This window comes from Homo sapiens, chromosome 19, assembly GCF_000001405.40.
Source record: "Homo sapiens chromosome 19, GRCh38.p14 Primary Assembly".
In the NCBI taxonomy this organism is placed as follows: Eukaryota; Metazoa; Chordata; class Mammalia; order Primates; family Hominidae; genus Homo; species Homo sapiens.
The window spans coordinates 29,362,169-29,388,496 of record NC_000019.10 but is presented as its reverse complement, the minus strand read 5'-3'; the positions used below and the strand labels follow the sequence as shown (position 1 = coordinate 29,388,496).

Sequence of the window (26,328 nt, the reverse complement as noted above, 5' to 3'; positions counted from 1 at the left end):
GCGTTGGAAGATACACTTGAGGCTCAGGGGGAAAGCCACCTGAGGCTTACCTACATGGCGAGTTGGTGTTGGGTGCTGGTGGGAAGGAAGTTCCTCCATTCACGGCTCTAGTCTCCGAGCTGCTTGAGTGTCCCCCTGACCCAGCAGCTGGCTTCTCTCAGAGCAAGCAATCCCAGAGAGAGGGCTCCCAGCAGAAGCTATGCTTTTCATGAGCAGCATTATTCCCATACATACAGCATGAGCCATACAGCATCACTCCCGTCACATTCTCCTAATAAGGATCATTATGCATGGCCCACACATGGGGAGGGGGTTAGCTCATCTTGCAAAGGGAGGAGGGCCAAAATATTTATGAGGATATTTAAAAATTACCACATAGTGGACAAAAATAAATAGCTTTTAGCATTTGTGCCTATCTATCCCAATCTTTACACCTTCTTGCTCCCCAACTCCAGTCTGGAACACAGGGGTCCTAGGGCCCAGTGGAAGCCTTGGGAGGTGAAGGACAGCTCACAGGGACCCACCAATGCAGGAAAGTGACAGAGATACTCGGGAGACCCTCGGCGGCATGTGTGGACACTATACAAAGTTGAGGACTCCAGCCGGGCCATGCATCTGGAAAGGCTGCGCCTGGCCTGAGAGGCTTGGCTGTATCCCGAACCAGGCACTGACAAGGGTGCATCTGTAGCTGAGCTGCGGGTGAGTTGCAGGAAAGGCACCTCCCCTAGCTGAGCCCAGCCCTGATGAGCTGCGGGAGTGCAGGGAGACAGCCACATGGCTGGTCCGACCTGCGGGAGGCCGGAGGAGCTCTGGGCCAGTGCCTTCCTCCAGCGCACCACGAAACCAGGGCCCAGGGGAGGAAGTGACATGCTCAGGATCACATGGTGAGCTAGAGGTGATGGTCCTATAGTGAGTCACAGGGCACGGGGGTGCCTGGAGTTTTTCACTCTGCAATGCTATCTTTCCAATGGGGTGCCCAGCAGAAGCGACTCCTGGCAGATACAGAAACCAGGTGGAGGCAGAGGAGAAAACCACAGTGGGTCTAGGGTGTCAGAATGGCTTCTCCTTCCAGTAAGGGGATGCAAGCTGAAAGCTCATGAAGAAGGGGCGGCTGGGAGTGCAGAAGTCAGTAGAAATAAGGTGATGGACACAAGGCAGACCCATGAGCCAATCTTTTAAACCAAGATACAAAAACCAAGCCCAGTAAATACAAAAGAAATATTGGCCCAGGAAACAAACCATGGCTGTTTATTAAACTAAAGCACACACAGCTGTGCTCTGTAAATGGCAGTGAAATATGGTAATAGCTCAGTCCAGCGCTCATCGAGGAGCCAGCAGCACCCACGGCGTGAACATTTTCTTGAGCGTCTCACATTCTGTGCTGGCAGAGGGCTGAGTTTGGTTCCCTGGGCCTTGCACTGTGTCCAGCCCAAGTGGCACCAAACTTGGGGTCTTTGAGGAGGCAGCCAATGAAGAAAAGATTGCAGAATTGCTTAAGGGGTAGAAGCTCAGTTCCTGTCTTGTTGAGTATTCCCAGGGATCTGCTGAGGGCTGTGGAAGTGGCTGGGATTCGTCTTTGGGATAACTGGGGGTGGAGGACGGAAACTGCCCAGGCCGGTTTAATTGGGAAAAGGACATAGGGGCAGTTCGAGGACCCCATGAGCTGGACGCAAAGCCAACCTCCCCAGGTGGGACTTGGCAAAGCAGCCGCTGTCTCTATCTTCCCTTCTTTGTTGTCTCTCTTCTCTCACTGCTGTGTGACCTTCTCTTCTCCTTCTTCAAGGTGGAAATGACTGTCTCAGCCTTTCGTCCCTCCCAGCTCAAGCACAAGAAAGACTGACTAGGGATTGATTCCAGCCTCAAGTTCTCAAGTGGGAGGATGCGATTGGCTCAGCCCAGCCCAGATGATGGGTAGTTTCCCTGGTCCCCCAGGTCCCACAACCTTGAGTGGGCCAGGTAGCTGTGCCCAGTGGAGATGCCTGTACCCCGGGATTCCCTGGTCTCATCTCTGCATGGGCACTGTTCTCAGACAATGGGGTGGCTGTTCCGCATACTCCTTATAAAGGGGCTGTCTCTAGTAGTTGATAAAACTCTCAAAGGCATTTTTTCCCCAGCTGAACCAAGGCAGCTTTTGCATCCCATGCTCTCCGTTTATGGAATACTGAACAGGCACATTGAGGAGGTCACTGCTGGAGAGGAAAGGGAGACACCCTTGAAGCCACATGTTTAGGGACCTGGTCTGTAAGAACGCTGAGGCTCTCCCGCTGAGGACAGGGCTTTCAGCCCCTGGTTTTCCCAGGGGTTGGTTTTTCCCTCAAGTCTATTTAAAGAACATTAAAATAGACTTGAATTTTTTGGAAGTCCTAGGTGGGAGGATCACTTGAGCCCAGGAGTTTGAGACCAGCCTAGACAACATAGGGAGATCCCCATCTCAAAAAAAAAAAAAAAAAAAAAAAAGCCAGGCATGGTGGCACATGCCTGTAATCCCAGCTACTCAAGGGGCTGAGATGGGAGGATCACTTGAGCCTGGGAGGTCAAGGCCACAGTGAGCTATGATTACACCACTGCACTCCAGCTTGGACCACAGAGCAAGATCTCATCTAAAAAAAAGAAAGAAAGAAAGAAAGAAAGAAAGAAAGAAAGAAAGAAAGAAAGAAAGAAAGAAAGAAAGAAAACCTCTGCTGATCTTGGAGGAAGTGAAGTCTGGGGGTCTGGGGGCTTTTTCCTCCTCCCCATCAGTGACATGTGTGAGAGCCATTGCCGGGGTGGCCGAGGAAGCTGCCTTGCGTTCTGTTTGTAGGCTGCAGCCAGAGACAGGGAGGGCCTCGCACACCAGGCTAAGAAAGTTGGATTCCGTTCTGTTGGCAGAAAACAGATATGTTGAAAATATTATTTTAGGAGGGTGGATAACCCACGCAAAACTGGAGCTCTGCCAGCCTCCCTCAAAGCTCTGATTCCATGCTCTAACTGCGAGCGGTGTCCTCAGCGGGTATGCACATTGGGCATCCCTGGAGGTGCCTGCTACTGCTCCTGGTCCATTTCCCCCTCCCAGGGATTGGAGTCCTTGCTGGGTGATGTGCCGTGAAGGGGCTGCGCCTGGCGGTATGTGGGTGGCCTTGGCACCCCCAGCCCTTCAAGAGGCTGAGCCTCATCCCATGAACTCTTTCTCCCAAGGGCCACCCCCACCCCAAACATGTCCCATCCACCTCCTGCCACCCCCTCTCTCCCTTGGTTCAGGACTTCACATGCTGGTGCTGGAAGCTGGCTTCGAGGCCCATTTCAGCACCACCCCTCACCTCCAGTTCCTGTGTTCACCCTGGGAACTCATGCCTCCCCAGCATGAGACTTCTAAATTCCATCCCTGAGTAACATCAGAGTCCCTTTTGTCTTGGGGGGCAACTTCTGTCTCAGATATCTGTCTGGTGGAATCCTGCCTCCAAAGTGGGCCTTTGTCTGTGCTGGGTGAAAACACTCCAGAGCCTTCCCCCCACAGAGCGGGGCTTCAAACTGAGGTCAGAGGTGGGACTTGACCCCGCAGTCAGGGCTCAAACACCAGACCGAATTGGGGACTAGCTAAAACAGGGACAGGGCGGAAGCAGCTTCCCATCAGACCCGCCCACCAGAGTGCCATGTCAGTTTACCATTGCCATGGCAACACCCAGGCGTTACCACCACTTTCTATGGCAATGACCCAAAAGTTATTACCTCTACCCTAGAAATTCTGCATAAACCGCCCCTTAATCTGCATGTAATTAAAAGTGGGTATAAATCTGACTGCGGAACTGGCCTGAGCTGCTGCTCTCAGCATACTGCCTGTGGGTAGCCCTGCTCTGCAGGGGAAATCACTGGGCTGTATCATTCCAAGAGCTGTAACACTGCTGCTTCTATAAAGCTGTTTTCTTCTACCCTACCACTGGCTCACTGTTGAATTTTTTCCTGGGTGAAGCCCCACTTTGGGGCTCGCCTGTCCTGCATCAAAACCCCCATCACTAGTCCAGCAGCCAGCGGGGAATAGAAATAATAGCAAAGACCACTTGTTCCGCGCTCGTTGTGTGTTGGCAGTGAATTCAATGCCTCGTGTGCATCCTGTCAATGAATCCTCAGAACAGCCTTATTAGGTAGACATTCTTATCAGCCTCACTGTAGAGAGGCACAGAGAAATGAATTCGCTTTCTGAGTTCCCAGAACTCCTAAATGGCAGAGCCAGAATTCAGATGCAGATGTCAGACTGCGGGGCTCTGAGCTCTTCACCACTCTGCTGGGTGAAGGATATTTGGGCCAGAGGCTTGGAGGATGGCACAGTTAAAAGAAAAATTTAATTTTGTTGTGAAGCTGTGCCCTGTAATAAAGCCCTCGGCCTCTCACAGGGAACGGCATTGTACACAGGTTACTCATGACGTTGTCTGTTCACTGCCCAGTTTTTCCGGCAAAGCTGTGAGCTCCTTGAGTAAAGGTGGCAGGTCTTATATTGGTGTCTCCAGAACCTGGCACGGTGTCTGGAACTTAGTAAGTGTTAAATACACCAGGCTGGGCACCCAATCCAAGCCAAGCCCACGTTTTCTGGAGCTAGTGGTGGAAAGTGGGAGCTGTTTGGGTACTGGGGTCGCTTGGCTTGAGGATGTAAGCCTGGGGCAAGCCTTCCTGAGAGTGAAGTCAGCTAAGAGCAGGCTGTAAGTGGAGAGAGGTGGATGCCCAATGGCATCTTTAAGCACCTGGATCTAGCTTGCCTGAAGCTTGGATCCGCCTCTTTGTATTTGCATAAGGCAATATCTTCCGATGACTGTCTGAGCAGTTTGAGTTGGGCTTCCATCATTTGCCCTCTGACTAATTGGGGGATCTGCAGTACCTGCTTTGATTTAATGGAAACTCAGCAGAATCATAAAGAGGCCAGCCCTGCCTCCCATCCCAATTCCCAGTAACAAGCTCTGAGACCTCCTGGCTCCTTTTTTTTTTTTTTTTTGATGGTGTCTCACTCTGTCACTCTGTCACCCAGGCTGGAGTGCAGTGGCGTGATCTCAGCTCACTGTAACCTCTGCCTTCAAGGTTCAAGCAATTCTCCTGCCTCAGCCTCATGAGTAGCTGGGATTACAGGCGCCCACCAACACGCCCGACTGGTTTTTGTATCTTTTATTTTTTAGTAGGGATGGGGCTTCGCCATGTTGTTCAGGCTGATCTCGAACTCCTGACCTCAGGTGATCCACCTGCCTTGGCCTCCCAAAATGTTGGGATTACAGGTGTGAACCACTGTGCCCGGTCTCCTTTTTTTTTTTGGAGACAAAGTCTCACTCTGTCACCCAGGCTGGAATGCAGTGGTGCAATCTGGGCTCACTGCAACCTCCACCTCCCAGGTTCAAGCGATTCTCCTGCTTCAGCCTCCTGGGTAGCTGGCCCAGCACTTTGGGAGGCCGAGGTGGGCGGATCCTTTTTCTGACTATAGGGTTATGAATCCTTCCCCTGCTGGACCAGCCCAAGCCCAGCCAGAGAGAAAACCCTGAGGCTGGACTTGGCAGTAATTAGCATCATGCTAAAAGGGCTCATTTGTCTCCACTTTGTCATTGGCGCAGCAGCTCTGAGACCACAGTTGTTGTGAAAGATGAATCCGGAACTGTCATTCAATTACATACATGTCCACTGTGCCTGATTATTAAGCCTTTGCAAAATCAATTCTTCATGGCCTTTTAATCCAGAGCAGATAAACAAGGAGAAGGAGCTTGGGGACAGTCTCAAAGAAAAGTCCAATTACTGTTCCTGGAGGAGGCTGTAGGTGTTCCCAGCCCAAAGATTCCAGGAGGTGGGGAGCCCCAGGTCACAGAGGGCAAGGGCCGGGCTCTCACAGGGGCAGGGAAGGAGCGTGAGGGGAGGGGAGGAAGAAAACTGAGCAGGGAGGGTGCAGCAGTGATGTGGTGAGGGCAGGGAGGGTAAGTGCTAAGTGATTTCACGTGAAAACTGGAGTGTGCAAATCCTGATTCTTCCCACTGTTGTGGGATCACTGTTGCTCGTGGCCGGGCACTGGTGCCCTCATTGCTGGCCAGGAGCTCCTGGCCTGTGGTCGAAAGAACTCTAAAAGTCAATGGTAAGACTGCTTTTTGGTTCTCACTGGCAGGTGCTTGTCTGTGCTGATGTTTGCCCTGACTTGCAGTGAAATGAGGAAAACAGACTCAAGTTATGTTTTGCATAGCTATACTTATTCAATTAGAGTTTTTCCCAAGTTCTGACCTTTTCCACCCCTTTGGCCTTACATTGCCCTTTCCATTGTGAAATGACAGTGATTATAAATGGTTGTTGACTTGGCAGAATAAAATGCTTTCAAAGGTGTCTCCGCCACTGTAGCCTTCTGAAGTACTGGCATCCTTGCTCCTCTCTTGATAGGACCCAGTTCTGCTCGGATCTCCACTGGGGTCCCCAGGCAGGCTGGTCCCAGCCTCCTTCTCTCCCCTGCAGAATGGGGCACCCTTCAGGCATCTGGTGAGGAAAGCAGTTTCCCTGGAGACCTCCTAGCTCGGTGGGCCTTATGGATGCTCACAACACCCATGCTTAATCCTGAAGTCAAGAGCAGAGCACGAATTAAGTCCCCAGCCTCACAAATGTAGAAATAAAGCTCAGTGAGGTTCAGCCACAAACCCAGAGTCCCGCACAGCTGGAGACAGAGGGAGGACGAGAGCCATAGTGCCTCGGCCTTGCAGCGCCCAGAGGACAGTGTCCTGCGGCCCAGAGCAAAGACCAGCTGGGCACAGTGGCTCATGCTGTAATCCCAGCAATTTGAGAGGCTGAGGTGGAATGATCGCTTGAGGCCAGGAGTTCGATACCAGCTTGGGCAACACAGCAAGAACCCCTGCCTCTACAAAAAATTAAAACATGAGCCAGGCGTGGTGGCATTTGCCTCCGGTCCCGGCTACTCAGGAGGCTGAGGAGAAAGGATTGCTTGAGTCCAGGAGTTGGAGGCTGCCGTGAGTTTGATTGCATCACTGTGCTCCAACCTGTGTGACAGAATAAGACCCCAACTGAAAAAATAAAATAAAATTTATAAAAGCAAAGGCCCTGGGGCCCAGTCCCCAGTGTTGGGTTCTGTCTGTTCTGCTTGCGCACTCGTGGTCCTGGCTGAGGCCCTTCCTCTCCAGACAGATTTCCTCTCCTGGCACATGAGATAATAATAATGATACAAATGTGTGCAGCACAGGGAACACTGGCATAGCACATGCTCTTTGTTTTGAGACAGAGTCTCACTCAGTCACCCAGGGTGGAGTGCAGCGGCGTGATCTCGGCTCACTGCAACCTCCACCTCCCGGGTTCAAGCAATTACCTTGCCTCAGCCTCCCGAGTAGCTGGGATTAAAGGCACCTGCCACCACATCTGGCTAAGTTTTGTATTTTTAGTACAGATGGTTTCACCATGTTGGCCAGGCTGGTCTTGAACTCCTGACCTCAGGTGATCCATCTACCTTGGTCTCCCAAAGTGCTGGGATTACAGGAGTGAGCCATGACGCTCGGCCCAGCATATGCTCTTAATAAGACTAGTTCCTTTCCAATTTCCCCAGCACAGACAGTGACACAGGAGGGGTGGTGGTCATTTGTGCTGTTACCAAATGTGCCCGGATTCCTGCTCCCTGGGCACTGGGTGGGATGCACTCCTAGCACCTCTGGGTGGGTGTCTGGGTAGGGCCATGTGGAATGAGTCGAAGGGGTCCTGGGGGATCAGCCATGGAGGAAGTGATGTGTGTCACCTCTGGGTGACACCTCACAGCCAGTGCCTGCTTTGCTCCCTTCTGACTTCGTCATCATGGAATCACAGGTGGAGACAGAGCTTCCCCAGCCTGAGCCCCTGAGGGTGACGAGGACCAGAGTCCTCTTGGCTGACCCATGTGGGACATTCAGTAAAACGGGGATGCCCTTCACTGTGCTAAACCCTGGAGATATTGGGGATGTTTGTCAGTGCAGTTTGACTCAGCTTCCACTGACCAATGAAGAAAACGAAGCCATGAGTGAAGGGATTGTTATCAGCGCCCTGGGTTCTTGCAATCTCCCAGGATAGGAATCAAGATGGATTGCCGGACATTGCACTTAAGGAAAGAGAAAGCTTCATTTAGCTTTTGCACAAGGGAAGCCAGCACTGCAAAAGGGCAAGGACGGGCTGCTCTGGAGGGTAGCATGTGGGCTGGTTCTTTCGGGAAGGGTTTTGTCAGGGCATGGATAGGAGGTTTCTCTAGTACTTGTGTACTGGTTCTACATCCTTCTTCATACATTGCATGTAATACGGGTGTGACTTTTAGTATGAAAAGGAGGAAAAGGTCACTATAAGGTGAGTTTAAGTCCAACCGCACGTGTAGGCGGAGGAAGTCCCTAACCCCCTACAGCAGGAGCTCGTGGCTCACTGCTTCTTGGGTCTTTGTTGCTGGTTGGCTGGAAATTAGGTAAACTATAGCATGAGTAAGGGGCTTTTGTTTTTTTCTCTAAACCACATTAAAACAGGAAACCAGCCTGTCGGCCTGTCTCAATTCCATGCGGACCTGGGTGAGGGGTGAGTCTGTGCACAGGGAAAGTTAGTTTTTGCTGAGATGTGCCTCTTCCTGTCTCCTCCATTCTGAAATGCCTCTGCTTCCTTGGGTGACCTGCCAAGGACCCTCAAAACTACTGCAGCAGCCAGGTTGGAAGCTGAGGGACCTTGCCGGCTCTGAGCTCAGCGTCAGAGTTTAGCAAACAGTGAAGCGTGCTCGGTGCAGGGTTCGGCTTGCTGACTATACTTCCCATGCAGCAACCCCACAGTCCTCAAACTGCAGCTGCAGGGGCTCCACACATGGCTGGGAATAATAGGAGTGGCTTTCTCTGCAGCTCTAAGTACCAGGGGCCAGCTCCCTCCCTGGAGTCCCACACCAGTGGGAAACAACAAACCACACAAGTAGCCATTAGTGGAAAGTGCTGTTATTAAGACAATAAAACTAGGTGACGGGACAGAGAGAGACGTGGCTGGGGAGGGCAGGTACTGATGGATGTCCTGGGAAGGTCTCTCCGAGGAGGCGACTTGCAGGGTGAGAAGGAACCAGCCAAGGAGAAAAGCAGGCAAGGAGGGAGAGTCAGGGTTTGTGTTGCACGGAGCTGCCGTGATAGGAACCATGTAGGAACCATGATGACCACATTCATCCTGGCCTGGACACTCTCTGTAGCCAGTGGGGCAGGGCCTCCATCATCATGCTTGATCCTCAGATGGCCCTACTCACACCAACACTGCAATTTATAGACAGTAAACAAATCAGAGCAGAAGAAGTCTTTGGGATGTTCAATCCCACATGCCTAGAAAGATGCAAGCCCTCCCCTCTTGCTGTCACATTTTTCCTCCCCACAATGGGCTTTCCATGGAATTCTCCAGAAAGTCTGGCTCTAGGTGCACTGCTTCATGGTTAATTGTCAGGTGCCATTGAGAACGTGCACACTGGTCATTCTGGAGTAAATAAATGAAAGTGTTTGCAGGCGACCTCAGCTCCACAGAAGTCCTTGTAGTGCTTTTAGGATGTGAGGTGTAGGTGTTCATTTCTGCAGCCTTTGGTGCTCTGGCTCTGGAGCTGAGTGAATGATTGGGAATGCAGGAAAGCTGCATCCACCCACACCAAGGGAACTGAAACACAGCTCGCTTGCAAATGTGCCGAAGGAGCCAGCCTCCAAGCCTTCCCAAACCCTTTGGAGTTAATAGGATTTCCAAGAACATCTGCTTTGATGTATTGTCCATTTTGCATCTAAATGTTGTATAATGGCAGCTGTTGAGAAATCATGAATATCAGCGGTGCTGAAAGCCTGTGGAAATCACACCCCTGGCAGCAACTCCAGGTGAGGTTGGACTGTCTGCCAAAGGGTATGTGGACCTGACCCTCGCTGAAGGTTTCATTAAGTGGGGCCCTGTCTGCTGCTGGTTGGCTGGGGAATTTCTGCAACTATCCAAATGTACCCTTATGTTTATGCTCTGAAATTTCCTGCAACTTTACTTTTATTCTAAGAATTGCAAAGCAACAGCTAAGAAATGGGTAAGAAGAACAAGAATATGAGCTGTGATTCCACAGTTTTAGGGCCAAGGGGGCGTGCTCTGACAGCAACCAGGGGAGTGGCCAGAGTCTTGGTGAGAAGCTGGCATGAAGGCCTGACCTCATAACCTCACCTGTGGGACCTGCAAGGCGCTGAGACATCTCCAACTTCTGCTGCAGCCATCTTCCTTCCCACTCATGGACCTGCTGCCCTCTTGGCTGCCCCTGTGTCCTGGGTGTGGCAGGCCTAGTTCCACCTCAGTCCAGATTGCACCTGCCTGCGTTCTGTGTGGCTCAGTTTTTCTCATCCACCCTATATCGACTTGGAGTCATTGCAGGGATGCCCTCTCTGACCACATCATCTAAAACAGCCCAGGATTCTTTATTCCCTTATCCTGCCTACTTTTCACTTTTCCTCCATTGCATTGATCACTAACTAAAATCACATGTCTTTTATTTGCTCATTTGTTTATTGCACACAGCCCCTCTGAAAACGTGGGTTCCATCATGGCAGCCAGGGTCTGCCTTTGGGTGGATATCCGTGCAGCAAGCGTGAGTTGACAAGGCTGCCATAGCCTGCAAGGTTGGGCTAGGACCCCTGGAGTCAGGAGAAAGGAACCCTGCAGAGTCAGGGTTGGAGCTGCCAAGACCCTGTGCTGAGGGACCATGTGGTTTGCTTCTTGAGGCCTCACTTTTCTGTTTGATAAAACCTGAAAGGAATGATTTGCTTAGGGCCCCTGGGCATTTTCACACTCAAGAAACAGTCATCTGATCTGGCATTTTCTGGAGGGATTCAGGTGGAATATGAAATAACTTAAAACATTTTCTTTTAGTTAAATATTTTGAATGTATTAGGGGAATATATATATACACACACATACACACACACATTTATACACACATACATAAACTCACAAATGAAGACTTTAGTTTTATGAGGCTAAGGTATTTGAGGATGTAAAAAATGCACGCCTAATTCACAGAAAAGTCTAAAGCAGGACTTTGGAAACTATGGCCCATGGGTCAAATCTGGCCCACTGCCTGTGTTTGTACATAGGTTTTATTAGAGCATAGCCACGCTTATTCATTTACATAGCATCTATGGTTTATTTGGTGGTATGACGGTGGAGTTAAGTAGTTGTGGCAGTGACAGTACTGCCTGCAGAGACTAAAGCATTTACTATCTGGCCCTTACAGAAAAAGTAAATAGCAAACAATTGGAAACAAAAATCAAGGAAATTCGTGAGAGGTGAAGAGCTGGCCTCATTTGTCAGCAGGGCAGTGGGAGCTGAGCCTGCACACTGGTCATGCCCCATCTGTTTTGTGCACAAAGCCTCCTGCTGGGTCTCTGCCAGGATGGTGGGGCCAGATTCTGCCACACCCACTTGAATGCTCTCCCCTTGTTTAGGGGCTCAAAATGTCCCTCTGGCCCCACCTTTAAGGCCAAGTTGGAAATACAGCCAGTTGCCCAATCAGAAAGAGGGTAGATTTATCAGGCAATTCAAGACCGTCAAGGTGGAGCTAGCTGCTAGCAAAAGGAAAGGCAGAGAGTCAGGAGACCGGTGGCCTCTGGGAAATTGAACACCATGCTGATGCTGGACGAAGAGCTCATAGCCAAGGACAGGCCACGCCAGGGTGCACCCATCTCTTTTCTGTTTCTGCCTTATGAGGAAACTGCAGCTTCATAAGCAAGTCAGTGATTTTAGAGACCCCTAACAACATCAAGGCAACTTTTCAGATATCCAGAGAGACCACTCTCAGAAAGAAAGTTCATTTTTTAAATTTTTTATTTATTTTTGAGACAGAGTCTTGCTTTGTCACCCAGGCTGGAGTGCAGTGGCAGGAACTCAGCTCACTACAACCTTGATCTGCTAGATTCAATTGATTCTCCTCCCTCAGGCTCCCCAGTAACTGGGATTACAGGCATGCGCTGCCACCACACCTGGCTGATTTTTGTATTTTTAGTAGAGACAGGGTTTCACTATGTTGTCCAAGCTGGTCTTGAACTCCTGACCTCGTGTTCTGCTCACCTCAGCTTCCCAAAGTGCTGGGATTACAGGCATGGAGTCACCGTCCCCAGCAAGAAAGAAAGTTCTTGGTCCCCAGGAAAAGAGTCCTGAAAGGGCCTCGAGTGGGACTGGAGGGGAAGGAGGAGGCCATTGTGATTAAAAGGAGGTGGTCCAGGTCAGCCAGAGCGCCCACAGCCTTGCACATGAATGGTAATTATACTCGGAGCAAAGGGCTGTTTGGAAGAATGACATAATAGAACTCCCAAACTGGTCGGTATAATTTCCCCTGGCACCCAGCATGCATGAATAAGACGCGCAGTCAAACAGAAGAGTAATCAGATGAAATATTCCTTTAATAATACGTTTGCCAGATCAAATATTAAAAATAGGAGACGGAGAGAAGGAGCAGCCATCTCCCCAGTGGTATCAGTTCCATAAATATTGCTTCATTAAGCTGTCTGTGTCGGTTCAAAGAGATGGATTTGGAAATGTGGCCAAGCTTGTTGCGATGAGGCGGAAGACTCCGCGCTGCCAGTGTCACTTCGCCTGCCCACACTGCGCTAGCTGCCACAGTGCGGGGCCATCAGTTAACAGCCGGAGCTGGCCCGACATCTGCCCAAAGGACGTGTGTTTATTTATTTGGAGTCAAGCCTCTTCCATCGGTGCACCAGTGGCTTCCATCCCAGCCAAACAGCGGGGAATTAATAATGATGGCTTTTGACTTTCTCAAGACCTTCCCTTGGCAAAGTTTGCATTCATCTTACTGGCATCTCTCTGAGGTCGGAGGTAGGATGGAGATGGTGGAGGCTCTGTTGGTAACCCAGGTCTGTGTTCTGTAAGGAAGCAGCTCAGGGTGAAAGCCAGGCCCTTCCAGGCCCTGGGCTTTGAAAGAGTGGTGTACGCAGGGATGGAGGGGCTCCTTGGTGAGGGTACGCAAAGGATTTGGAGGGTTGAGCTGTATCTCAATTTTAGGTGGCAGATATTTGCTGTTGGGTCCAAGCTCCATGCTAACGGGTGGGAAGAATAATTACTTAAAAATCAATTGTCAGTAATTATTTGAATATAAATGAGACGTGGCTGGGTGTGGTTGCTCACACCTGCAATTCCAGCACCGTGGGAGGCCAAGGTGGGAGGATCCCTTGAGCCCAGGAGTTTGCAACCAGCCTAGGCAACATGGTAAGACCGTGTCTCTAGAAAAAAATTAAAAATTACCCAGGAGTGGTGGCACACACCTGTAGTCCCAGCTACTCAGGAGGCTAAGGTGGGAGGATGAGGATGGCTTAAGCCTAGCAGGTCAACACTACAGTGAGCTATGATCACACCACTGCACTTTAGCCTGGGTGGCACAGCAAGATCCTGTCTTTAAAAAAAAATAAAATAAAAATAATTAATGTGATGCATTGTCTTGACTCAGGCTATCTATGCCTGTCAATAACTGCAGGAATGTTTGGATTTTGTGTTAGGGATCCAGGACTAGTCAACTCCCAAAGATGCTGATGTGGGGTCTAACTAACTGACCAGTGATGAGCCTCTATTGTCTTGTGTATAAAGAACCTTGATTCCTAAGTTTATGAAATCATTCTTCTCAACTTCATATCTGTCCTTTGCTAAAACATTGTTTTTGGGAAATAGAGCTCAGAAAACAAATTAAAGGGTTGAATTTGGTCAAATCTTATTTGATCTTCAAGGCCAAAGAGCTGGTTTGATTGAATGTTAAGCATTTTAAAAATGAAATGTTATATAAATATATATTAAATACATACTATGTGCTAGGCTCCATAGGTGTTTTAGCAACTTCTGATGACTTCTAGGATGAATCTGACCTGGACCTTCACCAAATGCTTCACCCTGGTGGGGTGTGTGTGGGGATCACTGTCACAGGTGCCCCCTAAGCTTTGCGTCTTCCTTCTGTCTGTAGCTCGAGGCCAGTAGACGCCATGCTTCTTATCTGCTTATGTTTACCTTGAAACACTTTCCACATCCACACTTTGCTTCCCCAGACATCTCCCCTTCTAACTCTAGGACCGCAGGATTAGGACAGGCCAGACAGGAACAAACATAAGGCAAGTGATGCTATCGGAAGACCAGACACACTCCCTCCACCTCCATACACACTTCCCACCTAGGACCACCCAGATGCCGTGGGTCAACTTGTCACAGGGGCCATCCTGTATGTATTGAAACTTTGAGAGATTTGCCTATGGAAACTTTCGGGGTTGCTTAGCAGTCCCTATGGCCCTAGATGGGGGTGCTTCACACCAGGCACAAGCAACATGCTCCTCTCCTCCCACTGCACCTAGTGAGCTAAGTCCTGCCTGCACTTCACTTAGAAGGGCTTGTCTGGGCCAGGCGCGGTGGCTCACGTCTGTAATCCCAGCACTTTGGGAGGCTGAGGCGGTCAGATCACTTGAGGATAGGAGTTCGAGACCAGCCTGGCCAACATGGTGAAACCCTGTCTCTACTAAAAATAAAACATTTAATTGGGCTTGGTGATGCATGTCTGTAAATCCCAGCTACTCGGGAGGCTGAGACAGGAGAATCGCTTGAACCTGGGAGGCGGAGGTTGCAGTGAGCCAAGATAGTGCCACTGCACTCCAGCCTGGGTGAAAGATCGAGACTCTGTCTCAAAAAAAAAAAAAAAAAAAAAGAAAAAGAAAAAGAAGAAAAAAAGGAAAAAAAGAGCTTCTCTGACGGTCCTGCCCATCTGCCCGTGCATTCTCCCCTGTGGCAGATGATGCTATCGCATGCCCTTCCTAGATCCTTTTTGGCCTGCACCATGCACACACGATGTGGTTCCTGCCATAAGTGCCAAGACTCTGCTGAAGCCTTTTCTCTGGCTGCAGGAACCTGCTTTGCTACCTGCATGCGTGGCTGGCTGGAACTGTCCTGGAATCAACACATCCAGGAGCAGCCCTCAATTAATGCTGGCAAGAGTCGGTGGACAAACGACCCAGCTCCTCTGCCCCTTGGCGTGCAGCCATTGTGAGGTGTGGTCCCCAGCAAGATTGTGCTCTGGCTGCCCACAGTAGTAACTGCTCACTAATGCACCCTCTGTGGGCTTTCTGCTCCTCCCTATCTCACCCTCCACTCTGTCCTCTGTGGGCCCTGGGATCATCTCCTAACACACATCTTGCTAGGAATCCTTGTATCAGTCTCTTTCTCTGGGGAGCCCAGCTGAAGTCACTGGTCTTGTGAACTCATTGTACACTGAGTCCTGCCAAGGACCCTCATTAATGCTGAACACACCATGCTTGGATTACGCAGTGTGCCCTGATCGCCAGTGCTCAGATACTAAGTCATTCCTCAGGGCTTGTTTCTGACGTCTCCTTCTCCAGGAAGCCCTCCTGCACATTCGAGTGGATTCCACTGGCCCTCCCTTTGCTTCCTCATGGCACATGGCTTGTGCCCCTAGAGTGGGGGCTATTTGGTCTGTCTGGTGCTGGAGTTGGTTGTATGTGCCTTGGCCTCCCCACCACCCCAACCCCCAGGACTGTGTGCTCTTTGGCACTGGGTCTGTGTCTGCAATTTAGGATCAGAGATTCCCCACTCAAAAGCCTGGAGGGTCCAGTCAAATAACAAATACCAAGTCCTGTGGGCCAGGAGTTTATTGCAGGGGAGCATGGGGGCTGGGATAAACCTGGAGAGCAAGCCATACCTGTGTTTCAATTGAAAAGAAAGAAAAAACTGTGCCTAGCAGACATAGAACACCTGTGGGGCTGGATGTTGGGTTGAATGAAGCCGCCTTTCACACTTCTCGAAGGCAGAGAGTTTGTGTTTCTCATCACAGCCTGACAGCCCTGACACTTGACAGCCACTGCATAGAGAGGGTGTGTCATGGGAGTTTTATCAGGATGATGGAGAGAGTGAAAGGCCTGGGGCCAGGAAGGAGGCTGGATGGAGAGACAGCCCGTCCCTGACTCAGACACCAATGTTGAAGAATAGCCCAGCTGCAGGTAGGCCAGGCCACATTGTTACCTACAATCTGGTCACTTCCTTCTTTCTCCTGGGTCTTCCCCAACCAGCACACGGACCAGGAGCTCTAGCCACTTGGGTTTTTCTGTCCCCCTCACACTTCAGCAGCTACAGGGGGATGCAGGTGTTGGTACCTGTGGGATTTCTGGGTCCACCCCTCTGGCTGACCCAAGGTCTGTTTCTGGGATGCTCTGATTTCTGTGCGCCCTGGGGGAGCCCAGAGGCCACACAGAGGCCGTTCCCAGGCCACATGGAAGCCCCATCACAACAAATTCAGTGGGGGGTGAAGTGTTGGGGGCATTTCCTAAACGCTTCAGGGCTGTGGTTACCGAGAATGGAGCCCTGTGCCATGCAGGGGAGAACAGTTGGCCCCATACAGGCAGTAAAGGACTGCTTTACCCGAGAAATGCCTCCACCTTGCAGAGGGCCCAGGCAGATCCAAGGCTTGCAGCTCTGGGCCAGTTCCACTGGACATGCCGGCCCTTCCTGTCTGCAGGCGGGACAAGGGGAGGCTCGGCACTCTGTGGTGCTTGGCAGGGGTCTGGAAAGAGACTGAGTGCATCCATGTGGTCTGGCCTCTCATCTCTGGGGACCCCCAGGTCCCTGGCAACTCCCTTCCCGGTGATATCCTGGCAGGTTTGCTCAGTTTAGCATCAGGGTTCTGCCTCCCAATTGCAGGGTTTGCAGGTTGAGGGGAAGTGGACTCCCAGATGAGCAATGCTGCCCTTGGGTGTGGTTGAATAGGAAAGCTGCTCCCTAGGCCCAATAAGGGAAGGAGGCCCCAGGGCAAGTGCCTGCTGCTTATACTCATGAAAGGAAGCACCTCCTTCTGTTACTGGCTGAAAAGTCTTGACAGTGAGTTTTTTCATTGAGCAAAATGCACAAATACAGCAATAAAAGAATGAAACAACAAAAGCACAGATTGATTAAAGCAAAACTACCCTCTGCAGAGTGGGAGTGGACTCGAGCAAGCGGCTCAAAAGCCCTGATTGGAATGTTCTTTAGGGTTTTTATTAAGCTAGAAGAATTTGGTAACACCCCTAGATACTCTTTAGAGGCCTCCAGTTGGTTACACTCTATGCAAATGAAGGATTGGCCCATGATCAATCAATCAGATATTTCCTGTTTGTGATGTAGGAGAGACGGTGTTTTGTAGAGGGTGGGGTCTCTGACCTCTTGTCACTTGGGCATGGAGAGGTGGGGTTTTCCTTTTGGTCCAATTCCAAGAAGCCACCCTCAGGTTGGCTTTAGGCTTGTTGTCTCCAGACCCTATTCTTCTGTCTCAATTCTGGATCGGGGGTACCAATCCTGGGGAATTGATAGCTCAAAAGACGCATCTCCCTAGGCCATGCTGAGTGATGCCAAGCTTCATGGAGGGACGCTGGCACTGTTTGGGGGCCAGTGGCCTTGCCATCTGCAATCAGAGAGAGGTTGCCCACCTGCCAGCTACCTAAGGGATGGTCTCCCTTCCCCTGCTGGTGGCTCCATGGGGCCATTTTGTCCACACTCCATGATCTGTGTCTCCCGGCCATCTTGGAGGTGTGTTCTACATGAAAGAACAACATGTCTAATTGTACAGCGTTAATTCACAGAATTCGTCACACAGACCTATCCATTATGTCTAAACCATTCCTAAAAGCATCAGGATAATATATCATCATTTTGTATTAAATGAAGAGGCGGCCCCTTTCTCAGAATGGCTGTTCCCTAGTAATTATGATAAATGGAAAATCCTGGACAGGTGAATTTTAATAGGCATCCAAGTGCGCTTAGATTAATTAGATTACATTTTTTAAAAACTTTCCTATTTTGCTCCATAGATCTAAATAGGGGCCTCTAAAAGATCATAACCATCCACACACTAAAATGCATTATGATGTCATAAAAGATTATTGATGCACGTATGTAGTTAGACATTATGTTGGATGCGGCAGAATGGCGTAAAACATGGCTGGAGCTGTTCTGAAGCTGTGTTTGCTGACAGTGGTTAGTGGGACTCCCTGGCCAAAGTGTGCAAGGCGAGTGGGCGGGAGGAGCTCAGTGCATATTTCCACTTCCGAGTGGATCTCGTCGGCAATATTTCCCTCCCTGGCCCTTTCAAAAGCAGGGAGCTTGATTAGAGACACACCAACCACATCTTCTGGCTCTGAAAGAGATATACAGAACACTCTTTGTTTGTTTGTTTGTTTGCTTATTTGTTTGTTTTGAGACGGAGTCTTGTTTTGTCACCCAGGCTGGAGTACAATAGCACCATCTTGTCTTACTGCAACCTCCGCTTCCCGGGTTCAAGTGATTCTCCTGCCTCAGCCTCCCTAGTAGCTGGGACTACAGGCGCATGCCACTACGCCTGGCTAATTTTTGTACTTTTAGTACAGATGGGGTTTTACCATGTTGACCAGTCCGGTCTCAAACTCCTGACCTCAGGTGATCCATCTGCCTTGGCCTCCCAAAGTGCTGGGATTACAGGCGTGAGCCACCATGCCTGGCTCAGAATGCTATTTGACAGCCAAAAAGGGAACCATGGGGTGGGGGAAGAGCAGTATCATCAGATAAGTCTTGGGATTGAGGAGACATCAAGGTCACCTTCAAGTCCTGCCTTCCTTTCCTACCTCTGACCCTGAGTTTCTTGTACTTTCTTTTTTATTCACTTTTATATTTAATCATGGATGCATAATAGTTTCACATGTTTATGGGGTACAGATGATATTTTGATACAAGCATATGATGTGTTGTGATTAGATCAGAGCAACTGGAGTATCCATCACCTCAAGCACTGAGTATTTCTTTGTGTTAGGGACACTCCAATTTCATTCTTTTAGTTATTTTGAAATATACAATAAATTGATTTCTATGGTGAGAAAAGAAATGTTCTGCCATGGGGGACACATAACATTGGCCTTTATGGAAAGTTTAACATTTGGAAAGAGCTAAAAGGCAGACAAAGATCCTGAGGGAGAAGAAGCACTGAGAGCTCAGTTGATCACCCTCATAGTGTAGGAACCCTGTGCTGGGCCAGCAGCATCTCAGCTGGTCTCAAACCCCCTTGAGACATGCACTGCTGTCCACTTGGAAACAGTAGGAAAATGAGGTTCAGCAAGAGAAAGTCGTTGGCCAGATTTAGCAAATTAAAATCAGAGCACTCAGTTACCTTTGCATTTTAGATAAACAATGGATAATGTTTTAGTATGTGTTATATGTGGAAAATTATCTGTTATATATCTGAAATTCAGATTTAGCTGGATATTTGTGTTTTACGTGGTAACTCTGGCCCAAGGGCAAAGCTACATAGCTGTTAATTGGCAGCATCAGGACTTAAATCCACTCCAGTGTGGTCATTTCTGTGTTTTGCCATAAATTTCCTGCCTAACTGGTCACCAAACTACATATCAAGGTTACTCTCTGTCATTAAACTGGGGCTGTGGTAGCAAAAACACCAGCTTGACATTCTTGTTGGCTGAGCACCCTGTGCTAATAAAACAAGGTCTCTGATCTCAACGTGGCATAAGACTGCCAAACCTGATGCCATGCTGCCTTCTGGGGCTCTGATGGAGAAGTTACCTGCACACACGCCACTGCCTGAGACATAGCACATCCTGTGGCTAGGGCCAATAAGGAGTGGCTGTGATGTGACCCAGGGCACACAGGGGCAACCATGTCCCCCTGGTCTCTGTTAATGTCACTGGAGTCCGTGATCAGTGGGACTGCCTTGTTTTGGGCCACCCTGTCATTTTTTGTTTGTTTGTTGTTTGAGACGAAATCTTGCTCTTTTGCCCAGGCCGGAGTGCAGTGGTACCATCTAGGCTCACTGCAACCTCCGCCTCCCAGGTTCAAGCAATTCTCCTGCCTCAGCCTCCTGAGTAGTAGCTGGGATTATAGGCACGAGCCACCACACCCAGCTAATTTTTTATTTTTAATAGAGACGGGGTTTCACCAAGCTGGTCTCTAACTCTTGACCTCAAGTGATCCTCCCTCCAAGGCCTCCCAAAATGATGGGATTATAGGCATGAGCCACTGCGCCCGGCCCAGCCACCTTGTTTTTAGTCCCTTCCCACTCACCAGCATGCATGTTCTGTCCTCAAGGATAAACCTATTCTTCCTCTGCTATCTTTGCTTTCTAACCTCTCCAAACACCGGCAAATAAACCATGTGTGTCAGCTTCAAGCACAGGAAATATTTGTTTCTCCTTGTCCCAGTTGTCTCCCCTCTTTCGGTTTTCATACCGCCTGCAAAAGACAAAATTCATCCTACAAGGGTCTTTAGAGTTTCTCTTGCATTTTCTCTGATCTGTGGCTCCTTGCAGCTCAGGGAATTATACCCCACTGTTCACATTTTCAACCAGTTAGGCAGGAATTTTCCTCAGAAAGCCTGGCTCCGTCAGGGACTGTGCATATTTAAAGACTGTAATTAAGGGACTGTCAGTCAGAATTCCCATTACAAGTACTTGCTTTGAAGTTTATGACTTGGAGTCCTCAGCTCACAACATGTTTGGAAATGTGACATTTGGATGCATGGTTCAGGAAGATTCTTACTTGCAGAAAAGACAGGGCTTCATTTTCAAGCTGTAAACGGGGTGATTGCAAACTTAGCTGACACGCAGGCATTGAAGAGAGCAGGACCCACAGTTGATTAAAGCAGAAGGAGGAGGCGGGAGGCAGATCGAGTTAGTGTATCTGGGTCTGCTCTTGGGAGAAACGAGGTGGGTCCAAGGAGGCGAGGCACACCCTACACACTCCAAAAATAACTTTTCCTGGTTTCTTTCATTCAACTACCATTTACTTGTCTTTACACTTGATCTTAGCCACGAGGCCAAGAAGAGACCGTTTATTTATCTTTAATTTGAGAAATTGCAAAAGCACAGAAAAACACAAACAGAATATGACTCCATTCATTCAATAAAGACTTACTGAGAAAAAATATAGATTCCCATTTAATTCTGTTAAGGACTGGGTTGCATAATTTCTACAATTCTGCAGTAATGCGTAGTATACACTATAAATTTAGTTCTTATAATCTAATTATTCTATAATGACAGGAACTTACTTTTACATGTGATGTTTACCTGGAGAAGAGTTCATGGAAACTACCAGTAGAGATTAATTTCTGATTTAAGCCATAGGCTTGCATCGTTTGTTTCCATTTGGGCTGGATGTGCCACTCTACCTCTGATTTGGACCCTGGTGGCCTATCTGTTTCCTGAAAAACCCCCTCACACCTTTTCTTGCTGAACTCCAGACTTCGTTAGGTGAGAACAGAAAGGCGGGGTCGGGGTGGGTTTCTTTCTCTTTTCCACCTCCCAGAACACGTTGCATCTTTTTTCTTTATTCATGAATAACACACAATTTGCTATTAATCACCTCACAGCAATTGAAGTCTATTCAATTTGACACTCAGGCACTGTGCTGGGAATGGGGCAAAAAGAGTGAATTCACGACAGACCCGACTGCATGGCTGAATCTCACAGATGCTGCGCCGCGCAAATGAAGACAGACACGCAAGATTGTCTGCTGCCTCAGTCCGTGCCTATGAAGCCCCACAGCCGCAAACGCTGAGCTGTGGTGTCAGGAGAGATCAGTGGTTGCCTTGGATGGGGCGTGAGGGCATTGACCTGGAAGGGGCACAGAAGAGCTTTCTGGGGTGATGGGGATGTTCTATATTTTGATGGCAGCTGTGGCTACATGAGTATAATCCACAGGTGAACATTTCTTGAAACACATCAAACTATACACTTAAATGGTTGCATCTCAGTGCATGCAAATTAGGCCTCAACAAATTATTGCACAGACTGAATTTTTAACAATATGGGGAAAAGCTTGTCCCCAAGGACTGAAATCTGATGAAGTCACGCAAACGCTCGCACACACATACGTACATGCACGCACACACAGAGCTAGGTGCTGCATGAGCACAGAGACGAACTAGATAATCAGTGCTTGGATCAGGTGTGGGTGAGCAAGGAGAGCTGCTGTCAAATGTGAGATGGACAATGTAGGGAAGGGCATTTTAGATGGAGGAATGGCCTGTGTCTATTCCACCGTCAGACATTCATTATGTACCTGCTTTGTCCCAAGTCCTGAGGACAGAGAATACCCCTTCTCCTTCCAGAACAGTTCCCCACTCAGTGGAGGAGAATGACCCACAATTGGTGAATTACACACCAGTGGCACAGCATGAGCAAGGGGACAGAGGACTGGACATGCTCAGGCTTTGAGAGGAGAGGGTGACATGGTGTGTTGGAGCACAGGGTTTGTGAGCAGGGAAGGGTGTGGAGGGTGGTGGGGCCAGCTCTTGCAAAAGTTTTTGTTTTGGACTAAGGGGCTGGAGCTCCACTCTGAAGCCAAGAGAGGAGGGTGATTTCAGCATAAAGGTGGGGATGGAGGAGAGTGACATGCTCAAAGCCTTGGTTTAGAAAAATTGTCCCAATATTTCTACCCTGGGCTGTCTGGCTGGTTGCATGCACACCCTGTGTCAGCAGAGGGCAGGGGGATTGAACAGGAGATGGGGACACCAGCCAGGAGGCTGTTGCATGGTGAAAAATGGGTCCCCCAGGGCTGGGACCAGCCTGTGATATGCTTGTTTGATGGCTAATGAATAAACAGACAGAATGTCATGTAGCCATACAATAGAATATTATTTACCACCACCAACAAAAAGAAATAGAGTTCTGATATAGGCCAAAACAAAGATAACTCCCGAAACACTACACCAAGTGAAAGAAGCCAGTCACAAAAGACCATGTTTGGTATTATTTCATTTATATGAAACGTCCAGAATAGGCAAATCTATACAGACAGAAAATATTGTCTAGGCTTGGTGGGGGACAGGAGAAAAATGAAGGGGTGACCACTAAGGGGCACACTATTTCTTACTGAAATGATATAAATGTACTCAAAATTAGATTCTGGTGATGCTTGCACAACTCTGTACTGTATACATAAATAAATGAACAATACAGAATCTAAATATAGGTGTTTCAAAGCAAATCAGGTCATTTTCTAGCATTTAAAAATTACATTTCACAGAAAATTCAGACATTCAGCTTATCTTGGGGAGAAAGAATGAGAGAGAGGAAGAGAGAATGAGAGAGAATGAGACAGAGACTGAGAGAGAGAATGAGAGAGGAGAGTGAATGAAAGAATGATAAAGAGAGAATGACAGTGAGAGAGAATGAGAGAGAATGAGAAAAAAGAGAGAATGAGGGAGAGAAAGGGAGAATGAGAGTGAGAATGAGACTGAGACTGAGAGAAAGAGTGAATGCGAGAGAGAGAGAATGAGAGAGAGAAAAGGAGAAAATGAGAATGAGAGAGAGAAGGAGAGAATGGGAGAGAGAAAGAATGGGAGAAAAGAATGAGACAGAGACTGAGAGAGAATGAGAAAGAAAGAATGAGAAAGACAGAGAATGAGAGAGAGAATGAGAGAAAGAGAATGAGACAGAGAATGAGAGAGAGAATGAGAGAAAGAGAATGAGACAGAGAATGAGAGAGAATGATAGAGGAAGAATGAGAATGAGAGAGAAAGAGAGAATGAGAGAGAGAGAAAGAGAGAGAGAGAGAGATGGAGATGTGACAACTCTGGCAACCCTACATCCGTGGCCACCCTCAGTGGAACTGGGTGTCAGCATGAGCCGTCTAGTTTACCACAGTCCCCAACACAGCCTACTCTTCACCCCAGGATTGGTTCCTGTGGCTGTTTGAACTTGTGACTCCCCAGTTAAAGCAAACATAGAAAACAAAAATGTTCAGCATCAACATTTTGGTCCTACTATGGGCCTAGGACGGTGGGCATGCCTCTGTAAACAATCTTCGCACTTACAGGCAAGATGAAATAAAACTGGAACCAATGGAAGTTTACTTTCATAGAGCACCCACCTGAGCGATTTGAGCAGCTTTTCTACATTCCAAACACCAAAGCCATTGTTTCTTATTTACCGGTCTCCGCACACACCAACCTGCTGTGCTTTTAACCCTGACAAGGTACATCGGAGCAGGGGCTTGGAATGCTCAGGGGGCTTGCTCTGCCTTCTGCCAGGAGGAAGTAGAGATAGGAAGTGATCCTCCAGCTGCAGATTTTGTCCTGTGGCCCCCTGAAGGCACAAGAATTCCATTACAGACCTTCTCTGGTTGGAGGAAAAAGAGGAGGTTGCAGTAATTAAGGGAAGTGGAAGACGCAAGTTAAGGAAGCTTGTTCATTAAGGCAGCACACAGTCTTTGAATGTTTGCTATGTGCTACTGCACCATGCGATTTTAAAATCCAACTCAGTACCCAAACACGAGATGTCGTATCGTCATCCTCATACTCAGGAGCACATAACACTCTCATCTCCTTTCCTCTATCCCTCCTTTCTTTATCTTTCTTCCTTCTCCTTTCTTTCTCTCGTCCTCCCTCCCTTCTTTTCCTCCCTCCTTCCTCTCTTCCTTCCCTCTCTCCATCCACTTATTCATTCAATATTTATTTAGTGCCCAACTGTAAGAGTGGCCAGAGACACAACAGGGAAAAAAAGGTAAAAATCCTTGCCTTTGTCAAGCTTACATTTTAGTGGGAAAAGCACAGTGAGATAAAGAAGCACATTGTATAACATATTAGATGTGGCACATTGTTTAAGATATTAGATGATGCACGTTATATAATAGATTAAGTAGAACTGCCAGGTGAAATGTGGTGTGCATGTGTGGATTAACTTATTTCTATTTTACTATTTACGTGTTTATTTTTCAATTGATGTTTAGAGATATGTATCCATTATGGAATGACTAAATCAAGCTAATTAACATGTTCATTACTTCCCATACTTATTTTTTTGTGGTGAGAAAATTTAAAATCAACTTATTCGCTTAGCAATTATGGAGTATATAATTATACTCCATAATTATATAACTATAATTACCTTGCTGTACAATAGATCTCCTGAATGTATTCCTCCTGTCTACTTGGAATTTTGTATCCTATGACCAAAGTCTTTCCATTCCCCTACTCCTACCCCAGGCCCTGGTAACCACCATTCCATTCTCTGCTTCTTTAACATTTTAGATTCCACATGTAAGTGAGATCAGGTAGTATTTGTTTTTCCATGTCTGGCTTCTTTCACTTAGCATATACCCTCCAGGTCCTGCAATGTTGCTGCAAATGATAGAATTTTATTCTTTTTTATGGATGAATAATATTTCATTGTATAAGTGCACCACATTTTCTTTACACATTCATCCATTGATGGACACTTGGGATGATTCCATATCTTGGCTATTGTGAATAGTGCTGCAATAACAATGAGAGTGCAGATGTCTCTTCAATAAACTGATTTCAAATCTTTTGGGTAAATACCCATAAGTGGGATTGCTGGATCATATGGCAGCTTTATTAGTAATTTTTAAAGGAACATCATACAGTTTTCCATAAAGACTATGCTAATTTACATTCCCACCAACAGTGTACAAGGGTTTACTTTTCTCTACATCTTCACCAACACTTCTTATTGCTTGTCTTTTTGACAATAGCCATTCTGACTGGTGTGAGATGATAGCTCATTGTAGTTTTAAATTGCATTTTCCTGATGATTACTTAAGTTGAATATTTTTTCAAATACCTTTTGACCGTTTGTATATCTTTTGAGAAATGTGTGTTTAGTCCCCTTGCTCATTTTTTTTTTTTTTTTTTTGAGACGGAGTCTCGCTAGCTCTGTTGCCAGGCTGGAGGGCAGTGGTGTGATCTGGGCTTACTGTAACCTCCGCCTCCCTGGTTCAAGTGATTCTTCTGCCTCAGCCCCCTGAGTAGCTGGGACTATAGGTGCGCGCCACCATGCTTAGCTAATTTTTATAGGCGCGTGCCACCATGCCCAGATAATTTTTGTATTTTTAGTAGGGACGAGGTTTCACCATGTTGGCCAGGATGGTCTCAATCTCTTGACATCATGATCTGCCCACCTTGTTCTCCCAAAGTGCTGGGATTACAGGCGTGAGCCACCGCACCCAGCTCATTTTTAAATTGAATTATTTGTTTTCTTGTTACTGAGTTGCTTGAATTCCTTACACACTTTGAATATTAGCTCCTTATTGAGTGTATGGATTGCAAATATTTTCTCCCAATTTGCAGACTGTCTCTTCACATCGTTAATTGTTTCCTTCACTATGCAGAAATTTTTAAGTTTGTTGTAATCTTATTTGTCTATTTTTGCTTTTTGGGCCAAATCTAAAAAATCGTCACCAAGACTAATGTTATGCAGTTTTTCCCCTGTATTTTCTTTTTACAGTTTTACAGTTTTCAGTGTACATTTAAGTGTTCAGACCATTTTTAGTTGATTTGCATATATGGTGTCAGAAAAGAGTCCAATTTAATTCTTTTGCATGTAGA

At 47.9% G+C, this 26,328-nt stretch overlaps 1 long non-coding RNA gene across 1 annotated transcript in view, besides 2 other annotated features; it reads left to right on the top strand.

Annotated features, from left to right (window-relative positions):
• VSTM2B-DT (VSTM2B divergent transcript) overlaps window positions 1–26,328 on the top strand; it is a 238,742-nt gene that overhangs the window by 137,254 nt on the left and 75,160 nt on the right. The gene's annotated exons all lie outside the window — the stretch shown is intronic.
• Window positions 15,743–16,335: an enhancer, noted in NCBI's record as "H3K4me1 hESC enhancer chr19:29863069-29863661 (GRCh37/hg19 assembly coordinates)". NCBI's record gives its function as "activates a minimal SCP1, AML or CMV promoter by ChIP-STARR-seq in primed H9 embryonic stem cells {active_cell/tissue: H9 hESC(primed)}" and the evidence as "EXISTENCE:reporter gene assay evidence [ECO:0000049][PMID:30033119]".
• Window positions 16,336–16,930: an enhancer, noted in NCBI's record as "H3K4me1 hESC enhancer chr19:29862474-29863068 (GRCh37/hg19 assembly coordinates)". NCBI's record gives its function as "activates a minimal SCP1, AML or CMV promoter by ChIP-STARR-seq in primed H9 embryonic stem cells {active_cell/tissue: H9 hESC(primed)}" and the evidence as "EXISTENCE:reporter gene assay evidence [ECO:0000049][PMID:30033119]".